This window comes from Homo sapiens, chromosome 10, assembly GCF_000001405.40.
Source record: "Homo sapiens chromosome 10, GRCh38.p14 Primary Assembly".
NCBI classification, from domain to species: domain Eukaryota; kingdom Metazoa; phylum Chordata; class Mammalia; order Primates; family Hominidae; genus Homo; species Homo sapiens.
This window is the reverse complement of record NC_000010.11, coordinates 189,039-214,766: the sequence shown is the minus strand read 5'-3', so window position 1 is coordinate 214,766 and position 25,728 is coordinate 189,039. Positions and strand designations below refer to the sequence as shown.

The window sequence follows — 25,728 nt, the reverse complement described above, 5'->3', positions numbered from 1 at the left end:
CAGCCATCCATGTGTCTTGCTCTAGAGCAAGCAGATGAAGCAACATATGAGCCTACAAGGACATAGAGCATTTCTTTTAAAAAATCAAAAGAAAAAAGTCTTGAAATAACAAAACATTGAATGACCAGATATCACAAAATTTCACTCAGTGGCCTGGTCTTGCGGTCTTTTTCCAATATAATTTTAAAAGCTTATGAAAATACCTTTAAATGAATTATGTGGACCCTATGAGTAAATGGTAATGACAGACCAATCTGGAAGTGTGAGATGACCATAGAGTGTAGAAACTAGTTGGCACACACAATTTTTTATGCATTTACTTTCTTAAGAGACAAGTCTTGCTACGCTGCCCAGGCTAGACTCAAACTCCTGGGTTCAAGCAATCCTCCTGCCACAGCCTCCCAAGTAGCTGTGACTACAGGTGTGTGCCATCACACCTGGCTCCTCAGTACGTATACTTCTGTTTGCTTGACTAATATTTGAGCAAACCATTTAAAATTGGGAGTGGCCTTACTTTAAATAATTACTTTTTTCATTCTACCATTTCATATGGTCATATTTAAAACATTACCACAAAGATGCTTATCTATTACCTAATTTTACCACAGTTTCTCCAAATGAATGATCACTTATGTGATCATTAGGGCTGCAAACGGTGGCTGAGATCAGCATCCCAAAATGCCTAAAATAACTGCAGTCCAAAAGAAGGAATCTCAGCACCATGCGGTCACTATCTTGGCCTTAAAATATATAGGCTTCCACTTGGATTATTTATAACTATATCCTGACATATTATATAGTTAGGCTTTTGTTACATGATTGCTAGATTTCATAAAAGTAATCTTGTTCAATATATGCATATTTCTCAATTGCTTCAAATTTTTAAAAATAAGCATTGAAAAAAAGTAGCAGAGGTGAAATAAAAATGTAACACCAACAAACTCTGACTTTTAAATTCCATCAGTAATAGGCAGCATAGAGAAAACTGCACTTTTGTCTACTTTCTCTTTATCAACAGAATTGTGGAATTGAAGACAAGAGTCCAGACTCTTTGCTGATACAAAGTATCTCAGGAGATATAACTTGTGGGACTTATCAAGATAAATACACCTTTTCCCCACCTGAGTTTACAGCAATTTTTAGAGATAACAGAAGGAAAAAAAAAGAGCTTTACCACCCATTTAAAAAATAACAGAACTGCCTAAGTAAAGAATATTTGTAACTTTGACTTAAACGTTTAAAAATAGATAACCAAAAACATCCTATGCCTTCCCTTCCTAAGGCCATATACATCTACTTGTCATGTTCCTTTCTTGATGGATAAATTACAACATACATCTTTCAGTTTAAAAAGTCAAGTTTTTAGAGACATCAAAGTGATTCATCCTATATATAAGGTGGTAAAACTATAAAGCATGGGCCCCAGACTCAAATGCTGGCATGTAGGACAATCATTAGCCCACAGAACACCATGTGCAAACTAGAAAAGGTGGCCCTTCCATAAGACACTCTTGTTGTTGTATGTTCATTTATTAGAATAAATGCACTGGTGACTTTTGAATAAATAGGCAAATATACAATGTCTGTGATGTGGATGGGGCTTCCTAAATTGTACAGTTCACATCTGGCACCCCCATATGCAACAACCTCCACGCACTGGCCATACATTAAAAAAAGTACACAAAGCTGGTCAGTACGAGATGCATGTGCTGTGCCTAGTGGGAAACAATTATATGTCCTCCTCCTAGAGTGTTATCAGGGCATGAAAATTGTGGCACATGGACAGTCGCTGAGTAGCCAGGTGGGACCCCAGCCAAGGTAACAAAATACACATATAATTTGTCTCATTATTTTAGAGTTACACTTTAAATAAAGATCCAGTGTTCTAATGGAAAACCTCTTTACAAGTCTTGTGTTTGAGAATACAGGTTGAAAAGTAAAAAGACCCTGAGTAGAATTTTTGCTTGTATAATTAGTAAGAAACTAATGTGCTTTTACTATATTATATACAGGCGTTTTTTGTTGTAAGCATATTTATTCATTGGTCAAAAACTTGCTTTGAGTACCTGGTTATACACTTTATGTAGATAATCTCATTTAATCTTTCAAACAATCAAATGAAATAGATATTAATATGCCCATACGACAGCTGAGGGCTGAGGATCAGAGGCTAAGAAATTTCCTCAAGGTTGCATAACTAAATAAAGGCTTGAATTGGATCTGAAACCCCTGTTTATTTGTGACATACGAGATCTTACTTCTTTCTAATAAACTACATTACCTCTGAATTTTAAATATTTACATATTTTATACACCAGGCACAATTTTGATATATTCACTTGTGCTTATATTATACAGCCATTTTAGAATAAAAATGTTTGCAAGAAAGAACCAATCAGAATTAAACCTGTATACTATATGTTTGGTTTACATATAATATTTCATCTAGACAGAAGAAAAAAGGATGATTCTATAAATATATGCAAGAACAACATATAAAAATAAAAATTAGAACATAGGACCTAATATAGTGGTAAAAATATAATGTGCTCATTAACGACTTATTGAATTAAACTAAACAAAAAAACTTCAACTTGAGGAGGAAGAAAGCATATAGGAAAGTACCAATCTAAACAGTAAAGAGAAATAAAATCGCTTTTATGAAAAAATGTACACATGATCCACAAACCAAAATCCTATAGATTAAGTTGCACTTACTGTTAGTTAATTACTATACAAATCTTGGATATTATCACTATAGTCTTCTATACTATCTATAAATTCCTAAGTGTTTTAAGATTAGAAATTTTACATTATCTGGATTATTCTGAGTATATAATAAGGTATCAACAATTAATGGCCCTCCTTTAAATACCTGAGGCAATAGACTGATACCACTTGACATTACTTTTATTATGTCTTGGCACCCTAAGTTTCTTCACTGGCAGCAAAGCTTTACTTTTCTGTAAGGCAACTCAATAGAAAAATTCTTCTTATATAAAGATTTCCACTTAACTTTTCAAGAATACTTCCAGTGCACAAATGAAATTACACCAGTGAAAGTAAAGATTTTTTCTTCCATGTTTTCTGTTGCTGGAAAATGTGAATGTTCTTTCCTGAAGCTTTGAAGGTGCAGATTAAATTGACAAAAACAAAGTTAAAGAAGTGAACAGCTTTTCTAAGTTTATACCTTATCACAGCTGTTGCTATAAACCACCTCCCCACAGGCACTTGCTAGTTAGTTTACTGCTCTCAGGCTTCACAGGTTAGTATGTTTGCTGGCTCATCTGCTGTAGAGCCAGAAAAGAAAATAAACTCAAACTTTTTGGAAAATTTTTCCACAAAGAACCAATTATAAGATTCTATGTCATTTTTATAATTTTAGATTTTAGAGAATTTATGATAAAACACTCTCAAAGTATGCAATTACTAAATCTATCCCTTTCACAAACTCAATCTATAGAAAGAGATAGATTTTTGAAAGGGATATGTCTATCTATATCTATAGATAGATTTTTTTTTTCTTTTTAAGAAAAAGATATCTATAGATAGATTTTTTTTTTTCTTTTTAGGAGACAGGGTCTTGCTCTGTCGCCCAGGCTACAGTACAGCAGCGGCATGACCATAGCTCATTGCAGCCCTAAACTCCTGGGCTCAAGTGATCCTCCTACCTCAGCCTCCTGGGTATCTGGTACTACAGGCATGTGCCACCACACCCAGCTAATTTTTTATTTTTTTGTAGAGATGGGGTTGTGTATTTTATTTTTTTTTGTAGAGATGGGGGCTATGTTGCCCAGGCTAGTGTTGAACTCCTGGGCTCAAGTGATCCTCCTGCTTTAGCCTTCCAAAGTGCTAGGACTACAGGCATGAGCCACCACACCTGGCCACATCTGTTACATTTGAAACCTATCATCTTAAATGATGTTCCCTTGTAAAAATTAACACATTTTAAATCAAGGTATTAGAAACAGCAAAATAAAATAAGGTAGGAAGATAGAAATATTACACATGAAATCAATCTTTACGTAAGAAAAAAATGTACTTCGATATGTGCCTCTGAGTTTAAAGGTACATAATGAAAGGAAAGAGAAGCAGATTAAAATATCAACATTTAAAAGAGGAGTCAAAGTGAGAACTAGGTAAAAACGTAAAGAGAATTAATGTTCTGTCTTTCCTATTTGATTTCTGTTCCAGTACACAAAACTTGCAATTGTCATTAGTCAACGTAGGCACTGGCCAGGAGAACTTAACGTTTGGAACCTTTGTACTCTGCCACAAAATTCCTACTGAAGCCTGCCTTTGGGCTGTGATACCATCCTACCTGAACTGAGGCTGTTTCCCTAGGAAGACGGTTCATCCCCTTCTATCTGTCTAGATGGCATCAACATTATCTGGCATGGAAACATTTTTTGCTAATATTTATTGACGAAAACACTTAGGAATGCCATGAAGTGTGGGTACATCAAAAGAGCTTTGGTTTGCTTTCTTTTTTAGATTCAAGGTAATATATAGAGAAGCAGGATCTTTGTAAAAGTGAGTCATCTCCTAAATAATTAGTAAGGAAAGTATCCATACTACCAATGTAGAGCCTTAATGTTGATACAAATGTTAAAATGAAATATTAAACTTCTGAAAATGATTTTCTATAGGTTGTATCTAAATAATGTTTAAAAGCTAAAAGTTCACATCTCTATGTTTATCAAATAAAATGTACTTACAATCTCATCTCCTGGCAACCAATATCCTTCTTGTTCAATACCAGCTTTTGAACCTTTGCAGCCCACTGTTAGAGTTTCGACAATAAGACCATCTTTCACAGCTAAGCTCAGCTGACGGGTGGTCTCTTTAGGGTGCATACCGTGGACTCGAGACATATACCTGAACACAGAGGAAAAACAAATTTAAAAATCTTTCAGTACTGAAAACTAAAAATGAATGAAAATAAGAAAATGGTGGTAATTTCTTTCATTATGACTTGTATTTATGAGAGTCCTGTTGAGATAAAGAACAAGATAAAGAACGAACACGATAAACAGAAAAGAAAGGAAAAGTCTTCAATACGCAACTCTTCCAATTATCATGCTATTTTAAACTCAAATTCTCTTCTGTAATGATTAGACCAAGATATGTTCAAAATAGTCCCAAATCAGCGAATATAAATCACTTAAGAGACTGTAGTCAAACATCCCATTTAGTTTTAGCCTCCAGAGGGAGCAATTACCACTAACTTCTACTCTACAGATTCTACATTTAGAATTTTATAATCTCCAACCATAGGACCTTAGAACTACAAACATATTTTGTAATACTTTTACCTAAAACTTAGGAAATGACACCAGAGAACATTTAGAAATTACACGAGTGCTTGTCAACATATAAGGAAAGCATGGACGCATGTTGTGATCAGTCAGGCAAAAACGTGATTTTCAGTGAAATATACTTTGAGTCACTGAAGCACGCAAACATTCCCTGATTTACCGTTACAAGGTATTTTTTTAAAACAAAAAAGTGAAATATATCCGACACACCCTGGATCACTGAGAATAACATTGCAGATTCCCTTGTATTCACCAACTATATTCAACTCATGTTAATATTCGGCATATTTGCTTTGTATCTTTTTTGTTTAATAAAGAAATAAATGTTATAAAGTTGGATTTGTGCCATTTTCCACTCTCCTCCAAACAAACCTCAACGCTGATCTCTCTCTCTCTCTATATATATATATACATATACATATATATATACACACACACACACACATCAATGTCAATGTATCTACCTGTATCTCCAGTTAACTACTAAACTTCAAAGAGATCTTTGGATATCCAGATAAAAAACATAGTGTGAGCTAAATCAGACTGGCCTCAGACTTCTCCAGAGAAACATTCCACGCTAGAAGTCAGGGGAGTAATGCCTCATAAGTCCTCAAGGAAATAAGGGTGACAAAACTAGCATGTTTGGACTAGCTCCCACCTTCTTCCTTCTCCACCTCATTGTTACAGATGTTGCCACTGTCAGGGCTAACGTTCTGTTCTCTGATCATAATTCCCACCTCTCTTTCTGTCTTAGTCCTTCTGTTAACTGCATTGACAGAACAAGCAATGTTGAAGGGGAAAATGTGCTAATGTCCTCGACGCCCACAGTGCAGAGTCATGAACAACTATCTCAGGGACTGAGTGCACTATCTGAATATATAAACATCACCCTTAAAACAAAAAACATTTTTTCATGTGTCTTTTGGCTGCATAAACGTCTTCTTTTGAGAAGTGTCTGTTCATGTCCTTCGTCCACTTTTTGTTGGGGTTATTTGTTTTTTTCTTGTAAATTTGTTTGAGTTCACTGTAGATTCTGGATATTAGCCCTTTGTCAGATGAGTAGGTTGTGAAAATTTTCTCCCATTTTGTAGGTTGCCTGTTCACTCTGATGGCAGTTTCTTTTGCTGTGCAGAAGCTCTTTAATTAGATCCCATTTGTCAATTTTGGCTTTTGTTGCCATTGCTTTTGGTGTTTTAGACACGAAGTCCTTGCCCATGCCTATGTCCTGAATGGTAAGGCCTAGGTTTTCTTCTAGGGTTTTTATGGTTTTAGGTCAAACGTTTAAGTCTTTAATCCATCTTGAATTAATTTTTGTATAAGGTGTAAGGAAGGGATCCAGTTTCAGCTTTCTACATATGGCTAGCCAGTTTTCCCAGCACCATTTATTAAATAAGGAATCCTTTCCCCATTGCTTGTTTTTCTCAGGTTTGTCAAAGATCAGATAGTTGTAGATATGCGGCATTATTTCTGAGGGCTCCGTTCTGTTCCATTGATCTATATGTCTGTTTTGGTACCAGTACCATGCTGTTTTGGTTACTGTAGCCTTGTGGTATAGTTTGAAGTCAGGTAGCGTGATGCCTCTGGCTTTATTCTTTTGGCTTAGGATTGACTTGGCGATGTGGGCTCTTTTTTGGTTCCATATGAACTTTAAAGTAGTTTTTTCCAATTCTGTGAAGAAAGTCATTGGTAGCTTGATGGGGATGGCATTGAATCTATAAATTACCTTGGGCAGTATGGCCATTTTCACGATATTGATTCTTCCTCTCCATGAGCATGGAATGTTCTTCCATTTGTTTGTATCCTCTTTTATTTCATTGAGCAGTGGTTTGTAGTTCTCCTTGAAGAGGTCCTTCACATTCCTTGCCATCAGAGAAATGCCAATCAAAACCACAATGAGATACCATCTCACACCAGTTAGAATGGCAGTCATTAAAAAGTCAGGAAACAACAGGTGCTGGAGAGGATGTGGAGAAACAGGAACACTTTTACACTGTTGGTGGGACTGTAAACTAGTTCAACCATTGTGGAAGACAGTGTGGCGATTCCCCAGGGATCTAGAACTAGAAATACCATTTGACCCAGCCATCCCATTAGTGGGTATATACCCAAAGGACTATAAATCATGCTGCTATAAAGACACATGCACATGTATGTTTACTGCGGCACTATTCACAATAGCAAAGACTTGGAACCAACCCAAATGTCCATGAGTGATAGACTGGATTAAGAAAATGTGGCACATATACACCATGGAATACTATGCAGCCATAAAAAATGATGAGTACATGTCCTTTGTAGGGACATGGATGAAATTGGAAATCATCATTCTCAGTAAACTATCGCAAGGACAAAAAACCAAACACTGCATGTTCTCACTCATAGATGGGAATTGAACAATGAGAACACATGGACACAGGAAGGGGAACATCACACTCTGGGGACTGTTGTGGGGTCGGGGGAGTGGGGAGGCATAGCATTAGGAGATATACCTAATGCTAAATGATGAGTTAATGGGTGCAGCACACCAGCATGGCACATGTATACATATGAAACCTGCACATTGTGCACATGTACCCTAAAACTTAAAGTATAATAATAATAAAAAAATTAAAAAAATAAAAATTAAAACATTTCTAAGCTATCTGAAGAAACTCAAAGAAAATGTGTTACGTAGTGATAAAGTGATAAAAACAGAAGGCGTAGTACGTATGAGAAGACCAAAACCAGACATGTTTGTCTTTTTAGTAAATACAAATGGGCTAAACTCAACAATTTAAAAACAGTGACTCAGAAAGACTGAAAACAAATGGGAAAAAGCATATCATAAAAATGCTACCTAAATGAAGCAGGGGTCAAGATGGAAGTGTATAGGATTTGGAAAACAAGGCAAAAATCATTCTTAAAAAAGACAGAGCATAGTTATAATGCAAACAACTATAGGAAATAAAAGAAATACTGACAGAAATATAAAATTATGAGATTTTAATTCAATTCTCTCAGTTCACAAAAAAGTCAACTGGACAAAAAACTAAGTATGGCTATAGAAGACCTAACTAATAAGACAGAGCTATTGATTTATTATTATTTTTGAGATGGAATCTCACTCTGTTGCCCAGGCTGGAGCACAGTGGCATGATCTCGGCTCACTGCAACCTCTGCCTCCTGGGTTCAAGTGATTCTCCTGACTCAGCCTCCCAAGTAGCTGGGACTACAGGTGCTGGCCACCACGCCTGGCTAATTTTTGTATTTTTAGTAGAGATGGGGTTTCACCATGTTGGTCAGGCTAGTCTTGAAGTCGTGACCTCAGGTGATCCACCCGCCTCGGCCTCCCAAAGTGCCGGGATTACAGGCGTGAGCCACCGCGCCCGGCCTGATTTTTTATTTGTTGATTATTTATCTAGTTGATTTATTCTGAAACAAAAAAAAAAAAAAAACAACCTTAGGACAGGTCTATTGATTTATCCTGACACCAAAAAAACACCTTTAATAGGTCCAGAAGACATACATAACAACTGACCACAAAATCACCACAAAGATGACTTGAAGAGATTCCAAAAGTTATACACGCCATTGTTAATCATGGTGAAATTAAACCAGATATTAATAACAAAACCAGAAAACCCTCATAAACAACCACCGAGTCAAAAAAAAAAAGTTACTTAAAAATTACAAAAGATCTAAATGAAAAGCTAAAGCAATGCTGTTAAAAAAGAAAATGTGTAGAATCCAGGAACTCCTTTTTTTTTATTTTTTATTTTTTGTACAGGGTCTCACTCTGCCACCCAGGCTGCAGTACAATAGCACAATCATGGCTCACTGCAGGCTTGACCTCCCATCCTCAAGTGCTCCTCCCACCTCAGCCTCCTGAGAAGCTGGGATTACAGCCACACACCACTACACCTGACTAACTTTTTAATTTTTTGTAGAAACAGGGTCTCACTATGTTGCCCTGGCTGGTCTCAAACTCTCAGCCTCAAGTCATCCTCCCACCTCAGCCTCTCAAAGTGCTAGGATTACAGGCATGAGCTACCATGCCTGGCCCAAGAACTCCTTCTTAGGGAAAAATAAAAGAGGTATCATTACCTAATCTAATTCACAGTGAAGACACAAAGCACAAACATACAAAAAAATGCTACAGGGAGACAGCTATATATAAAAAGGAAATTAAAATAGAAGCAACTACTTTGTTCAGTTCTGTGTAAAAATATAAACACTATGATTTTATAAGAAAATATAAATAACCAAAACCTGAACACAGAATAAAACAGAACCTTTAAAAGGCCAATTTCCAAAGAAATAAATAGAAGAAGTTTGCGAAGAGCTTCCCCAGAAAAACATCAGCTACAGACATATTCGTAAGTTACTTCTATCAAACTTATAATGACCAGGTAACTCCAATGAGACTCAAACTCTTCCAGTGCACAATCATAGGAAAGCAAGGAATCTAGCATGTAATGGTAAGAAAACCCCACAAAACAGCATAGACAAAGAAAATCAGTGACCTGTAGAAATAGTGATATAAAAATCCTACATAAAATATTTGAATATAATCTAATATTAAATACAAATATATAAATATTAATATATTCAATGTCAAAATAATATACTAATTCTAGGAATTGAAGGAAGATTTAATATGAAGACATTTAAAAATATAGTTTACTCCATTAACAGGTCAAAAATAAACTATCATGAAGATTTTGATAACACGTTGAAAGGCATTTAGGAAAATTCAATACCTAGCCCTTAACAAAACAAGAATGAGTAAATACTTCTGTAACCTAATCAAGAATATTCAAAGATGTCTGTGGTTGTCACTTTTCCTTAACACTCTGCAAAGGTAATAACCAACATAACTGGACTAGTTATAAAAGTTGATAAGGAGTTTGCAAATCATGTATCTAGAAAACCCAAGAAAATCAGCTGATATGCTTTTTTAAGTAATTTAAATTAAGTATATAGTTCAATAAATTCTTTGGGTACAAACTAATTTACTAACAGCATTCATATACAGAAACCAAAAAGACAGGTGATTGAAAAGAAGACCAAAACTCAATTATTTACAACAACAGTAAGAAAAATAAAATTTCCAGGAAGAAATAGAATGACAAAATTTGTGTAAATTCTGAAATTCTACTGATGCAAAGAAAAAAGATGAACAAATCGGAATTTTCATTACAGTAAAAGTGGCATTTCACATTATTGGTAGAAAGACTGATTAATCAATGCAGGACATTGGGACAACTGGTTATCTAACCTAGGAAAGGAGAGGGAGCCCTACCTTAGATTGTATCTATAAATTATAGATAGATCAGATTTAAATATGGACAACAAAACCACACAATTGTTCAGCATGTGTGAAATAACACACATACAAGGAAGGAAATTCATTTTAGTATTGCTGGCAGCAAGAAACAATTAGAAATAATGTAAATATATATCTTAGGGGACTGGTTAAATAACTGATAACTGTACCAAGGATTATTACACAGTTTTCACAAGAAATGAAGCAATGTTATAGGTGTTAAGATGACATAAGCTCTATATTACATTTTTTTAAAAAAATCGTGGTATAAGACACTACTATTTTTCAAAACACTGTATAACTGATGTGCACAAAAGAGTTCTAGAGCTTGATTCCTTCCAGAAACTGCAGAGAGGGGCTCAGGGAACAAGGGATGGGAGAAGACTTTTTTCCACAGTATGCCCCTTGGAATTTCATTTGTATCTATTAGCTAGACGATTTTTACTTTTAAAAAAGTAGCTACCATTTACCATTCCTCCAGAACATACAAGTTTCCTGCTCCCATGTAAGCTTGCCAGCCTTAGGGAGTTCCTCTCCTTCTTTTTCAGACTCATTGTGGCTCTTCTTGGTCCCATATTCATCCACAGTAATTTTAAAGTCAGTTTGCCAAAATCCACAAAAATAGTTAAATCTCCATAACCAAGTTAAGAATATCCACTGATGAAATTGGTACATATGCTCATTTATTTATATATTTTTCTATGTCTTTAATATGGTTTTATAATTTGTATCCATAAGATTTGTACATATCTTTTGGGTTTTTCCTAGATATTTTACATTTACTGTTTTTTTTTAAAATGGAATTTTATTTTATATAGTATTTCCTGGTTGGTGGTTGCTGGTATTTATTGGGCAGTCTGCTTACCTCTCTTTATAGTTTCAGGTTTGTCTGCAAATTCTATTGGACTTGTTTCTCATCAAGCTGATTAGGACTTCTAGTAAAGTGCACACCATACGTAGTAACAGTGGGTATCCTTATCTTGTTTTAGATTTTGTAGGGGATTCTTATAACAGTTCACCATTAAACATGACTCTTGAGGATGCTTATTGGTAAACATATCTTATAAATATAAAATGATAAATATAAATGCAAATATGATGCTTGCTATAGGATTTTGATGCATAACTTTTATTGAGGACATTTCTTTCCAGTTTGCTAAGTGTTTTTTTTTAATGGCACTGCATTTTATTATTCCTTGATATATTTTTATCCACAGACTTTCACCACACAATGGGTTTTCTTAGCCACTAAGAAACAACCATAGAGCATGGATTAACACACAACACAAGAAGAGGTCTGCTTTGTTGTTAGTCCTAGCATGTTGGGCTCAACTTTCTTATTTTAAAGTGAAATAAAGTCAGTGAAAACAATACATTCTGGTCATTTCGTTCTCTATCTTTGGTCTTTGAGGGACTAAAAAAGATGTATGCCATGAAGAGCAGGTTGGAATGAGGGAGCCCTTTCACAGATGAAGGTCAGGAGAGAGTATGGCTGAAGGATGAGTCGCAACTAGCACACACGAATGACAACAACGCAAAACTAAGTGCTTCCTCCTATACTGATGCACCTTGAGAATCTAACAAAGGAGTCAATAACTTTGTTTTCTGGATGGAAAGTTTTGAGTTTAGGCAAATTAGAATAAAGAATAACTGATCTAGTATATATTAGAAGTGTCATCTAAGGGCTAACGTGTTCATTATTTATAATGGTTGTGTCAAGAAATACAAGCTCATAAAGTAATGTCTAAACCTGATGAATTTATGTTTTCCTGCTCACTCTTCTATTCTTTAAAAATATATATTGTTATGTTCTTAAGAAATAAGTTCAAAGAAATTCATACCTATTTTTCTTCAAAAGTAAAGCAAAAGGTTAGAACCGAGCCAGAACACTGTAAATATTAAGTAACTAGAGGAGTACTGTGATCCTACTGCGTATTACAGGCCAAATATATTTGATAAGGCTTAAGATTTTCTGGAATTAATAATAAACTCTGAAGGCTGATTTACACAATACCTCAAATGTAACAATGGGTCCCAATTCATTATTCATTTTCTTAGATCATCAAGTACTCAGGCAGGTTTGCATCATGTGAAAACATATTTGTTAGCATTCAGATAAAGGATACTCCAGGTCTCTCATTTTCTTATAACTGCTTAATCTATAACAAGAACTTTTCTTCTTCCAATAAAGAGAAAACAGAACAATTTGGGTTTGAGATACACTGATAAGTGGCCTTCTAGTCTGCTATTTTAATTTCACTTAATACCGCAGGTCAGGAAATGGCATGTAAATGTCTAATATTAAAGTATACATTCAATTTCTCTGAACTTTTTCAATAACTTCCTCCTCATTTTCTCGCACCCCACTGCATTCCCACAGCTTTCCACCATCTGGCACCCCAGAGCGCTCCCTTCTCTCCCAGGGTGCGAGCTTCCATGGGACGCTGAGTACTCAAGTGCCTCCAAGCCACAGGCCTGAGATGATCCCCTCCCCGAGATCATTCTGAAAGTTCCAAGACGAATACATATATATATAATGTGTGTGTGTGTGTGTGTGTATTTCATGGTAACAGCCACTGATTATTTAACATTTTTACAAAAGTAAGAAATCTCATGAGTCATAATTTCCTGAAAGTAATTACCTACTTTTAAGCCTTCTAACAATGATTCAATCTCAGAAACTTCTGCCATCTCATTTGAAATGAATATATTGGAAAATGAGCACATTAATAAAAACAGTATAAAAACAGCCACAACCAGTGGAAGAACGAACCACCACAGAATGCAGTGATGTGTTTTCTATCAATGAAAAACATAACAAATGCCTGTGATGTCTTCTTGTCCCTCATAAATAGTTCACACCACTGTGGAGTCCAGAGGCCTTTTACAATGTTGATGGTAACATAAATTTATTTTAAGTGTATTCTAGGTAATCTGGATAAACACCTTAAGACTTAGGACTGCCCCCCAATTTCAGTACCTTATGGCCCCCTACTGGCTCAGTGTACTGGCTCAGAGGACTGAAAACATCAGAATCATAAAATTTGAGATAGAAATTTAAATGAATATTGATCTAGTATCTTGCTGTCAAAAGACTTTATGAGTATAAAAGCTATGGAAGTATAACAGGAGGAGATGCAAAATACCTGACTAGATTAGAAATGTTGAATTTCTTTATGACACAAACATCTGAAACTCATTTTTTCTGGCCTCTGAAGCAATTATCACTAATTTCCATTTTGTAAATTAAAAGAAAACAATAAAATGGAAAAACATTTATGACAAATATGACAAAAAGTTTATATTCTAAAAATGCGAAACTAAAACAGGAAAACAATTTTTCCTTCTTAAATCAGCAAGATATTTAAAATAATTATTCTCAATGTAGTAAAGAGGCATCAAGACAGCCACCCTCAACACACTGCTATTGAAAGCACTTTCTAGAAAGCAGTCCAGCATTACACATCAACAGCCTTACAGATAATCCTATCACTTGACAGCCATTCTATTTCTAAGTAAATAACTTGAGATGGGGCAAGACTTATGTCTTAATAGAAAAATGCTTCCAGCCGGAAGTGGTGGCTCATGCTTGTAATCTCAGCACTTTGGGAGGCCAAGGTGAGATCACTTGAGCTCAGCAGTTCAAGATCAGCCTGGGCAATACAGCAAGACCCTGTCTCTAAAAAATAAATATATACACACATATTTATTATAACATATATTATTATATATATAGGGTGTATATATAATATATATTGTTATATATACATATATACACATATATACACATATATGTATATATGTTATATATAATACATATTATATGTTATATATTATATATAATATACATTTTATACATATTATATATTATATATAATTATATATTTTATATTATATATATATTTTTATATATATTATACACACACACACACACACACCCTAGCCAGGCATGGCAGCACATGTCTGTAGTCTCAGCTAACCCTAACTTGAACCCTTCCCTCCCTGCCAAAACCTCTGTTAGAGTGTTTTAGAAAAAGAAATGGTGTGTATTCATCATTCCTACGGGCCAGGGAAGTGGTGACCTTTTTAGAAAATCTGAGGTATTTTCTTATTTAGCCAGGCATGGTAGTGCACACCTGTAGTCCCAACTACTCAGGAGGCTGAGGTGGGAGGATTGCTTGAGCCCAGGAGGTAGAGGCTGCAGTGAGTCGTGATCACACCACTGCACTCCAGCCTGGATGACAGAACAAGACCCTGTCTCAAAAAAAAGAAAAAAATGTTTTCCACATCATAAAATTTTATAGTTAAAAAAAGGAACTAAATGTTAATACTAGTAAAATAAGTTAAAGTATATCCACTTGATAGAATACTATGCAGTTAATAAAATTAATGTTTCAAAAAACAATGTTGTGGCAGGCCACAGTGGCTCAGACCTATAATCCCAGCACTTTAGGAGGCTGAGACAGGAGGGTCACTTTAGCCCAGGATTTTGATACCAGCTGGGCAGCATAGTAAGACCTCGTCTCTACAAAAAAAATTTTAAAAAATTAGCCAAGCACGGTGGCATGCACCTGTAGTCCCAGTCAAGGAGGAGGCTGACACAGGAGGACCGCTTAAGCCCAGAAAGTCAAGACTGCAAGAGAGCTGTGATTGCACCACTGCATTTCTGCCTAGGCGACACTGTCTCCAAGAAAAACAACAATGGTATGAGAAAATGCTCACAGTGTATATAATAAGGATAAGATTTAAAATTATATATGCATATACATACGTACATGCATACACAGAAAGAAAGAGACAGAGACGGAGGGAGAGAGGGAGGGAGGGAGGGAGGAAGAGAGGGAGGGAGTGAGGGAGGGAGGGATGGGAAGGGGAATGGGGAGAGAGAGCGAGCGAGGGGGGAAGGGAGAGAGAGAGAGTTCTGCTACCAATAATAATTTATTGGGTTGTTCAGATCAATCCTTCCATTGAAAACTAGAAAAACCAAAGAAAATACTAAAAAAATAATTCATTTAGCAGCATCTGCCAATTCTGGAAAAGGCAAGTGAGAGGCTCAGAAGCTAGGCAGAGCTTTTGACAATCTCATGGGGACAGGGAGACAAAAACTGTAATTCAGGTGCACCAAGAAAGGGAGCCTTGGCAAGAACCCACGGACTAGGTTGTGATCCTGAAAGACTCTGCTTAAAGCTAACCTGGAAAGAGCTTGGTGTGCATACACACTAAAAGCCCAGCTTCAATCATGTCAATTCCTGATTTGATTAAGGTGATGTGAAATTGGTGGTCCACCAGACATCATCATCCTAGCGCCTGCATCTCTCTAATCTATATTTCAAATAGATATATGGCACACAATTAATAAAAACACTCACATGGGAGTTGAAAGAACATGCAATATGCAAGTACCTATTTGTATGTAAAGTCCTAGGCTAGAGTGTAATAATCCTTCTTTTCAGTTCTGTCCCACTGTCTAAATATCAAGCACAGAAATACTTCTTATGGACCTCCAGTGACTCTAGGAAAAATGCCAACGAGAGGTGAAATATTTTAGTTTTCATAACACTAAAATATGAACCCTTTTCATAATTTCTATTTAATCAAAACTGTTGAGTCTTAATTTCCCTTATTTCTGAATTAAAAATAATTTACAGTATTTGCTGAATATAGATACAGTGTAAAGATTTTATGGGGATTAACCAAAAAATCCCTTCCTTTCAATTATATTTTTGTTAACAGTAAAGGTATTATACTTTTTTTTTAAAAATGTTCTCCATTATGATTACCCCAAATGTTACACTGTAAATAATTACTTTAGATTTTGATCTCTATTATTTATGCAGTGACCATATTTAAACTGGTAAAGTAAAACATTTAGTAATTTTAAAGCTAGGTAGAGACCTAGATACCCCTTCAAATAACAGGCAAAGTTTTCATTTGGGGGAAAATAACATTTTTACTGTGACATATATAACTACTTATTTTATTAACTTTGGTTCCATTTTATAAAAAGGAAATATTTTTAATTTAAAATCTCAATTTTGGCCATTATAAATTATATATTTTACAGCTTGCTTGAATCTTTTTACATTATTAAATTAGACCTATCCCCAAATTTTACCAACTTTTTAAAAACTTACTTACCAGTTTATAACAATGATACAACTAATGAAAATGACATATCTGTGTAATGATGTAAAAATCACCATAGGTTCAAGAATAATGTAGTTGTTTCACATCTGAAATTGAAATATATTGTAAGTTTGATAGTCACTTTCCTTTGTAGTTGGAAAAAAGTAAAAGTAACAGCAGAGTACTGTTTTGGCATATTGTTTATTACATAACAATAACATTTCAATTAAAATTGCCTCTGAAATCTCAACCATGACTTCTCAAGACATAGGACTACACTCTGCCACCTGACACGAGCTTTGCAACTTAGACAATGGTTAACTTTCTGAAAACCCTAAAGATTTCTTTCTGGTTTTAGTACTATTAGAAGTAGCTACACTTTACCTAGGCAACTGATTTGCTTTATGGACATTACTAAAATGTTGAGGCTTCTCCTTTGCATTAGCTACTAGAAAACGGAAAGGCAAATCTGCAACACATCCTCAGCAGGCTGTTGGACTTTATAGAGGTATAGAAGTCTTTCTTATATTAGCCTTACTTGTGGCTCTATTTCATATACTAAACTTTGCTTTCCTCTTCCTCATCCTGCTCATCCCCTTCTGATATATATAACCTTCTTCTATTCTGTATCTTTTTTCTAATTGTCCCCAAAATATTTTTGAAAAAAAAGAGAAGTTCCAATGAAATATACCATGTGTATGTATTGATACACATACATGAATACAATGCGCACGTGGGCACACACATGAACTAAAAGCACTCCACCTTCCATGCGTATGTATTGATACACATACATGAACACAATGCGCACGTGGGCACACACGTGAACTAAAAGCACTCCACTTTCCACGCGTATGTATTGATACACATACATGAATACAATGTGCACGTGGGCACACACGTGAACTAAAAGCACGCCACCTTCCATGCGTATGTATTGATACACATACATGAACACATTGCGCACGTGGGCACACACGTGAACTAAAAGCACTCCACCTTCCATGCGTATGTATTGATACACATACATGAATACAATGCGCACGTGGGCACACACGTGAACTAAAAGCACTCCACCTTCCATTCTTTCTTCATGATGAAAGGGGGACTGTGCTTCCTGGACTGTTGCATTTACATGTTGTACTGGCAGAACTATTAATAGTTCCCCTTTTACTCTTACCCCAGTTTCAGACATTCTCTTCCCTCCTTTTTCTCTGTTTGCCAGTTGAAAACATGAATTAATCAATGTCTTACAATGAAACAGGATGTTTCAAATTTTTATATTAAAATTGAATTCCAGTATTTAAAATGTTATACTTTCCTTTTTAATATTCATTTACTAGCCCCAAACTAAATCTAACTTTATTTGTACAATGCTTCTTAGTATATTAGTACACAATCTATATTAACACAACTCTAAGACAAAATTTCAACGATTATCAAATTTTATGATGTATAACCTACTAATTTTGTTGAATGGATTTTCCTTCAAAATAAGTTGTGTAGTTAAAAATTGTAATATCATGTATTTTCAAATTATATACATCTTAAAAACTTCCATTTTCATTTTTAACTCGATTATAAAAAATGGTCATAATAAAATTATATACTTTATCCAGTTTGTTGGAGAAAAAGAATTAAAAGCCAAATAACTAGGTCTTCTCTTTCACTTCGATATAAAATTCCTCTTGATAACACTGAATAGAATTCTACTTACAACAATACTTAGCAGAAAAAATTTTCCGTAGTATTACCAGAAATGTTTAGAAGCGAACAGCATGTCAATAATGTAACTTCCATGTGATTAGGATATTCTTTGCATTTTGATAATCTGGCACAGAAAAGTCTTCAGTAGAAGAAAAGAGAAATAGCCAAAAAGAAACAGCTGACTTAAATTATGATAATTACTGCTGAATGAAATGAATTACCTAAAACAGTGGAATGGGTCATCAATAGACCTGACTGTGATTGAGATATACGTCATCAGGGAACAGTACAACAGTGATTAGACAATGCAGAACAATTAATCCTTCTCAGTTATATGACCCGCTGTCCTTACCCTTCTGTGTCATCTATTTTCCCCAACAAACTTCCATGCCTCCCATTTACTTCTTCTTGGTTTAAATTTTTCTATTTAGAAATTACACATATAAGAAATTATTTTAAAATATGTGTAGTGTGAAGAACAAGACAAACACCAGTTAAATCACCTCCTATGTTAGGAAAGAAAGCAGAAACCAACTCTGACAAAAGCCCCTAGAATGTGCCCATCCTGGTGGCACTCACCCCCACAGCTGGTTACCACTGTCCTTAATTTTGTGTTCACCATTTCCCCTTCTGTGTCTTCACGCTATTGGCCCCTATGTATGCCTATCCCTTAAAAACATGCTGTGCAGTGTTGTCTGTTTTTGAAGTTTACAGAAATGGAATCATACTGCATGTATTCTTTTGTAATTTGATTACTTTCTTAATATTATGTATCTGAAATTAACCCATATTGATGTGTGAGGCTATAGTTTATTTTTACTGTAGTATAATAGTCTGTTATAGAAATATATGACTATCCATTCTACTGTGAATGATCACTATTATGGTGGCACCAGCCTAATTTTTTTCACAACTTGAACATTATTTTTATTTTTTACAGTTAATGTTTTAATTTTAAACACATATTTATCAAGTCTTTGCTCATTATTCGTTCTTGTATTTCAGAACTTTCACTTGAGATCATTTTTTTCTGCCTGACGTTAGCCACTGAGAACTTCTTTTCTCTCAGATTGTATTTGTCTACAAAAGTCTTTATTTGAATCTCCCTCCTCCTTGAAAGGTAAATAAATCTAGGCTGAGAGTTACTGTCTCTTAACACACACTGAAGCTATTATTTCAGTTTTGCAGTATTCCAGTATTGCAGTTCAGAAGTCAGTTTGTGAGTCTAACTACCACATCTGTATACACGATGTCTCATAAAAAATCTATTGGCAACACTTAAGATCTTCTCTTTCCCCTTAGTAAATACTGCAGTTTTTAAACAATACAGCTAAATGTGGATATCATGTTAAATTTGGTCTGCAATGGGCTTCCTGGAATGAGTATTAGTACCTTTCAATAATTTCAGAAAGTTTTTAGCCAGTATCTCTATAAATGTTGATTGTTCCTCATTTCCTCCATTACATCCCTCCAGAACTCTAGACATGCAGGTCTGTGAGCGACCTTGTATCTGGAATATATATAGAGCTCTATAACACTTCAGTAATACTGAAATAAACTAACTCCATAAAAAAATGGGCAAAGGATTTGAATACTTTGTGAAAGAAGTTATAATTGGTCAGTAAGCACATTAAAATATGCTTGTATCAGGGAAATGCAAATTTCAACCACCATGAGATGCTAGTATAAATCGAGCGGAATGACTCGAACTTTTAAAAACTGACAATACCAGGTGTTGGAGAGAAAGTGGAAAATTTGGAACTCTCATAGATTGCAGCTGGAAATGTAAAACAGTCACTTTGGATAATAGTTTTGCCATTTCTAATAAAGTTAAACATACACTTATCACATAGCCTAGCAATTCCACTCCTAGGTAGTTCTCAAAACGTATGCCTACACCTGTACATGAAAGGATATTGTAGTTTTGCCATAATTGCCTCCTGATGGAAAACACTAGCCAGGCGTGGTGGCTCACACCTGTAGTCCCAGCACTTTGGGAGGCTGAGGTGGGTAGTCTGCCTGAGCCCAGGAGTTCGAGACCAGCCTGGGTCCCAGCACTTTGGGAGGCTGAGGTGGGTAGATCGCCTGAGCCCTGGAGTTCGAGACCAGCCTGGGCAACATGAAGAAACCCCGACTCTACCAAAAAAAAAATTCAAAAATTAGCCAGGCGTGGTGGCATCCACTTGTAGTCCCAGCTACTCGAGAGGCTGAATTGGGAGGATTGCTTGAGCCCAGGAGGTTGAGGCTGTAGTGAGCTGAGATTGTACTATTGCACTCCATCCTGGTTAACAGGGTGAGACCCTATCTCCCCACTAAAAAAAAACCACCCCAAATATCCCTCCAGTAGATTAATGAATTTTTTAATTTGTGGTATATCCACACAATGAAATACTACTCAGCAATGAAAACAAATGAACTACCAATATACATAGCAAATGAATCACAAAACATGCTAACCAAGAAAAGATTATCATGGAAAATAATATGTTTCCATTCAAATAAAATTCTAAAACAGGCAAAGCTAATCACAGTGACCGTAGGCAAATCAATGATGGAAGGGAGCAGAAGGCAGTACAAAGGAGTACAAAGAACTTTTGGGGTGATAAAAACTTCCTGTAATCTTAATTGAGATGGTGGTTGCACAGGTCATTAGTTTACAGAGGAAGGAAAGAAAATGACTTCCTCAAGGAAACACAGCTGGTTAACAGCAGAGCTATTAGTCTGGTTTTATTAACGATTTCAAGCTTTTTGTTAGAATGACTAACTAGCTGCAGGAAAAAAAGCCTACATTCACCTAGCACTCAACAAATATCATTGAAGACTGTTGAGTGAATGTCACATGCCAGTCACTAGTTCTAGGTGTTTGGGATACCCCATATCCAAAAGAGATCCTTACTCCATACAGAGGTTGCAGGGTCAGAGGGCACACAAGTAACGGTACTGCTAATAAATAATTTAACTATATGGAATGCTGTAAGGGCCCCTAAAATATCTCCCAAAAGAGTTTTTGATTTTCAAGTTTAAATCCCAAAGCAAAAGGCAGACTTACTATGGAGTGAAACATAAGATAATAAGGTAAAGTAGATCCTTACCTACCACATAAAAAGGGAACTACAGATGGATTGCAGACCTATCTGATAATGATAAAACTATACAATTAGTAAAAGAAAATGTAGGGAATATTCTGTGGCCTCCTTCAGGATAAGGTCTTCTTAAAATAAAATTTCAAAAGCATAAGACATTAGGCAGAAGAGATTGAATACAATCATTTCAAAACTTAAAATTTCTGTTCAAGAAATAAAACTATGGAAAAAGTTAAATAAACAGATGACAGAATGAGAAAAGAAGTTTACAAAGCATAAAACCTATAAGGGAATTAATGTTTAGAATAAAGAGCACCCCGTGTAAATCAACAGAAAAAGGTAACAATATCCCAGTGGAAAACAAGCAGAGAGTAACAGGGACTCACAGAAGAGGAAACCCAAAACCTTATAAGAACACCAAGAGCTGCCTAAACTCATTAACAGATAAAGAAATGCCAAGTTCAAACATCCAAGTGACAAAATGTGGGCAACTGAACAGCACTAAGCAAATGCAGATACGCAGGAAAATAAAACCCCTTGTGCACAGCGCTACCCAGCACGAAGACGGAGGTGGCCCTTCTTGAGAGCTCAGTCAGATTAGGCACCTGTGTGCATACCCTGAAATCAGGGAGGAATTTCTCTTTCTGGACAGACAGACCAACAAATTCCTTGTAGTGTCATCTGTGGTACTGAAAAGTCGGGCAAGTCATAGTAATTTATGGTGGAAGGAAACTGAAGACATCTTGAGTGTCCATAGCAAGGAAATAATTCAAAACGGGGAAAAAGTACAAAGAGATATGGAGCACAATGAAAAACTTGAAAACATTCAAGTTATTCTAGACTGTAACACTGGCAGCATGATGGTCAGAAGGCAGACAATACTACAGGGCTGCAGGAGGAGCCAAATGATATCACGGATGCAAAATGTAGTCCAGTGCCTCACACTTAATACTTAAATAAGTAGTTCCTGCTACTTAGCACACTTCACCCCCTCTAAGCTCTCGCCTCATTCTTCATTTGTATAACTGGAATATGTAGTGCTGTTATAAGAATTTAACAGATGACACATACAGGCACCGTGAAAGCAGAGTGGAAAAGCATGGCCTGCAAAGTCACACAGATCTGTTCTGCAACTGACTAGCTGCATAACTTTGGACAAGTCACTTACCCTCACTGCATCTCGATTTGCATATCTATGAAGTAAAATTAGTAAAGTCAACCCCATGCTGTTGTTTTGAGGGTAAATAAGATAACGTAAGTCATATAACAAATATTCATTCATCTTGTTTCTCCTCCTGCCCAGCTCATATTACAGTGCAGTCTCGCCAGATGAAACACTGTGCATTGTGCAACCACTACAGATAATAACTTACGGTGGCCAAGCAATGACATGGAAAAAGGTTGAATGATGCTGAGACAACAACCACATGTAGGAAAATGAATGGGAAAAAAAATCAAAATGAGTATCTGATTTGAATTCGGGTAGAGAAATTACAGAGGGTTATTTTTCTGTTTTCTATTTTCCAAGTATCTTGTAATATATTTATGTTACTTTTAGAAATAAAACAAAATATTTCATGGCAAACAAATATTTCAAAATTGCATGGAACAAAGAGCAATACACTTCAAAACCTACAACAGCATTGTTAGGGCTCCTTCATCACTGCAGCCATTTTAACTTTTCAGAATACATCCTGAAGCACTTGGTTCTTCCCAATTCCAACACGTGACCTGGGATAAATAATTTACCCTGATAGCCTCACATTCCCTACCTATAAGGTGGGGCTAATTTAAACTTCACAGTTGTTGTGAGGATGAAATGAGATAATGTGTTAGTTCCATGCAGATGATCATGTTTTGAAAACTTCAAAGTTTGCAAAGATACAAATCCATTAAAAAATGCCGGAAGGAAACATTTAATGGTTAAGAGCTTGGACTCCAATATCAGATGGATCTATATGAAAATTTTAGTTCTGCCACCAACTTTGGGCCATCCATTTTACCTTCCTAAGCTTTATCAACAAAAGGGGACTCATCACAACATAACTCACACAGTTGTTGTGAAAATTAAATAATTATATAAAGCACAGTGCTTTTCACAAAATAATGACTATTTAATGTTATCAATTATTATAACCCTCCTTCAAACCACTTCTACAGTTTACACAGCTGAATATTATTAAAGTTCCAATTACTACTCCTCACACTAAGATACAAAGATAGAAAATATATATACCCTACCCTCAAGGTGCTCACCATCAAAAGGAAGCAGAATGCTCTTCAAAGATCCTAAGAGACTAATAAATAATGAAATCAAATTATATATCTATATATATATTACTAAGGGAACAAAGAGAAAGGAAAATGGGCTTGAATAAGGAATGTCTCAAAAATCTCAAAGGAGATTTGAGTTGGATCCTAAAAGAATGGGTATGATTTTGTCCACTGATGAAGGAAAAATACAAAATGAAGAATCCATAAAGTGCTCAGGCAATTGAGAATAGTCTCATCAGGTGGAACACTGAGTAGGGAGACGCTGGGTATGAAAAGAAGAAACGTCAGGGTCTCACTGTAAAGAGCTTTGTACAAATGCCTTGCTCAGGTATTTGGACTTTATCAATAATGAGGAAATCAAAAGAGAATTTTAAGAGCATAACCAGACCTAAAATTTAGAAAAATAACTGACAGAATTAGGTTGACTTAAAGGTGTCAGGAGATAACACCAACACCTGAAGGAGGAGTCTGGGAAGGGCGTCCCAAGGCAGAGCATGGGAAACGCAGATCTGAGGGCCTGCGAGAGCCCAGCCGGAGCCTAAGGAGAGTGGGGAGTTGCAGGAGGGTGTGCAGAAGAGGCAGGGCGAGACAGCAACACCTATGCATGGGAATGTGGACTTCACGGGCAGCAGGAAAACGTTTGCAACAGTGGACCAATCTGATGATGTTGTTGAAAAGCATCTCTAACACCAACGATGGGAAGAAACAGAGACTAGCAAAGCTAGGGGCTGGAAAAACAGGCAAGAAAGTCATAAGGATGAAAACCCAGGCCAGAACAGAGAAGAGCAGACAGACTCGAGTCAATCCAGCTGCGGTGGAAAAAAATGACTGTGTTTTACTTTTACCATTTCTACATTCAAAAAATATTTGCTATTCCCCTCTCGCTACAGGATAAAAATTTCAATGCTAGCATTAAAGACCCTGCTGGTCTAACTCTTTCTGCCTTTTTATCCACTTTCCCTTAAGCCCTACAGTCCCTCTGCTTGATCCAGACAGTCTATGCTTTGACTCGCCTCTCTGCCTTGTCGAATCCCATCGAAATATCAAGGCCTGACTATTTCTGTACCCTTCACAAGGCATCCCAAGCATTCTCACAGTGACTGTCCCCTCAAATAAGGTCTATAGTGTTGTAAACTGATAGACTCCAATCTGTGGTACTGACCCTCTCCTGTTATTTGGTACTACCGCCTTATTATTTTATGTGCCTTGTATGTTTTTCTTCATAGACATGCAAAGAAATGTGAAATACATGAAAACAGCTAGACAACAACCCAAGGCAAGGTGAATGTCCTAAGAATTTGGCATGCTGGAAAAAACTCACTGTGGACTCTACTTATTCAGAATCAGTTACTTCTTCTGTAAGGCCATTATTGTATACAATAATAACAGTATACCTGCCAATCTGGTTTCATAATAAGATATGTAAGAAACAATCAATATAGATGGAAATGAGAATACAACAGGCAATTCTGTGGAGAATCCTTGGGATTACATAAACAGTATAATACTAATCAGTTGTTTTTTAATGAACTTATTTCCAAAGAAGTAACTTAGGCAATGGCTATTCTCTTCCTCTCCAATAATTCCAGTGAAGGAAGAGAAATTGACAGTGAGACATAGCAAAATTTAACTTACATAAATAAACAGTTCCTGGAAAGTGTTTTCAAAAAGTTAAAGAAATAATGTGTACCTAGTTGAAATTTCACACGCAACCTGCACGTGATGAGGACTTACAGTTTGCGTTTATGTATATCTGTAGCGACAGGAAGAACTCCAGGAGAACTCAGAAATGTCAATGCCAAACATGTCACAAGAGGTCAGAGGTCACATTTTCTAACTGGGGTCTGACCGTAAAGTAAGCAACGCAAGTAATTAATTGATGCCCTAACCTGAAACATTCACTTGAGTGGGACTA

The 25,728-nt window shown here is 36.0% G+C and overlaps 1 protein-coding gene across 38 annotated transcripts in view; it reads right to left on the bottom strand.

Annotated features, from left to right (window-relative positions):
- Positions 1–25,728, bottom strand: part of ZMYND11 (zinc finger MYND-type containing 11) — a 124,550-nt gene that overhangs the window by 39,871 nt on the left and 58,951 nt on the right. For 33 of the 38 annotated variants that reach the window (NR_163254.2, NM_001370103.2, NM_001370104.2 and 30 more), the window contains one exon: positions 4,719–4,878. The exons of 1 other annotated variant lie outside the window; for it this stretch is intronic. Coding sequence is in view for 36 of the 37 variants with exons in the window: in NM_001370103.2 (NP_001357032.1) it covers positions 4,719–4,878 (160 nt within the window). In the remaining variant the exon portion in view is untranslated. Of the gene's footprint in view, positions 1–4,718; positions 4,879–16,761; positions 16,857–25,728 lie in introns of all 38 variants that reach the window. 4 more of the 38 variants (NM_001330057.3, NM_001370112.2, NM_001370123.2 and 1 more) reach the window with 1 other exon arrangement.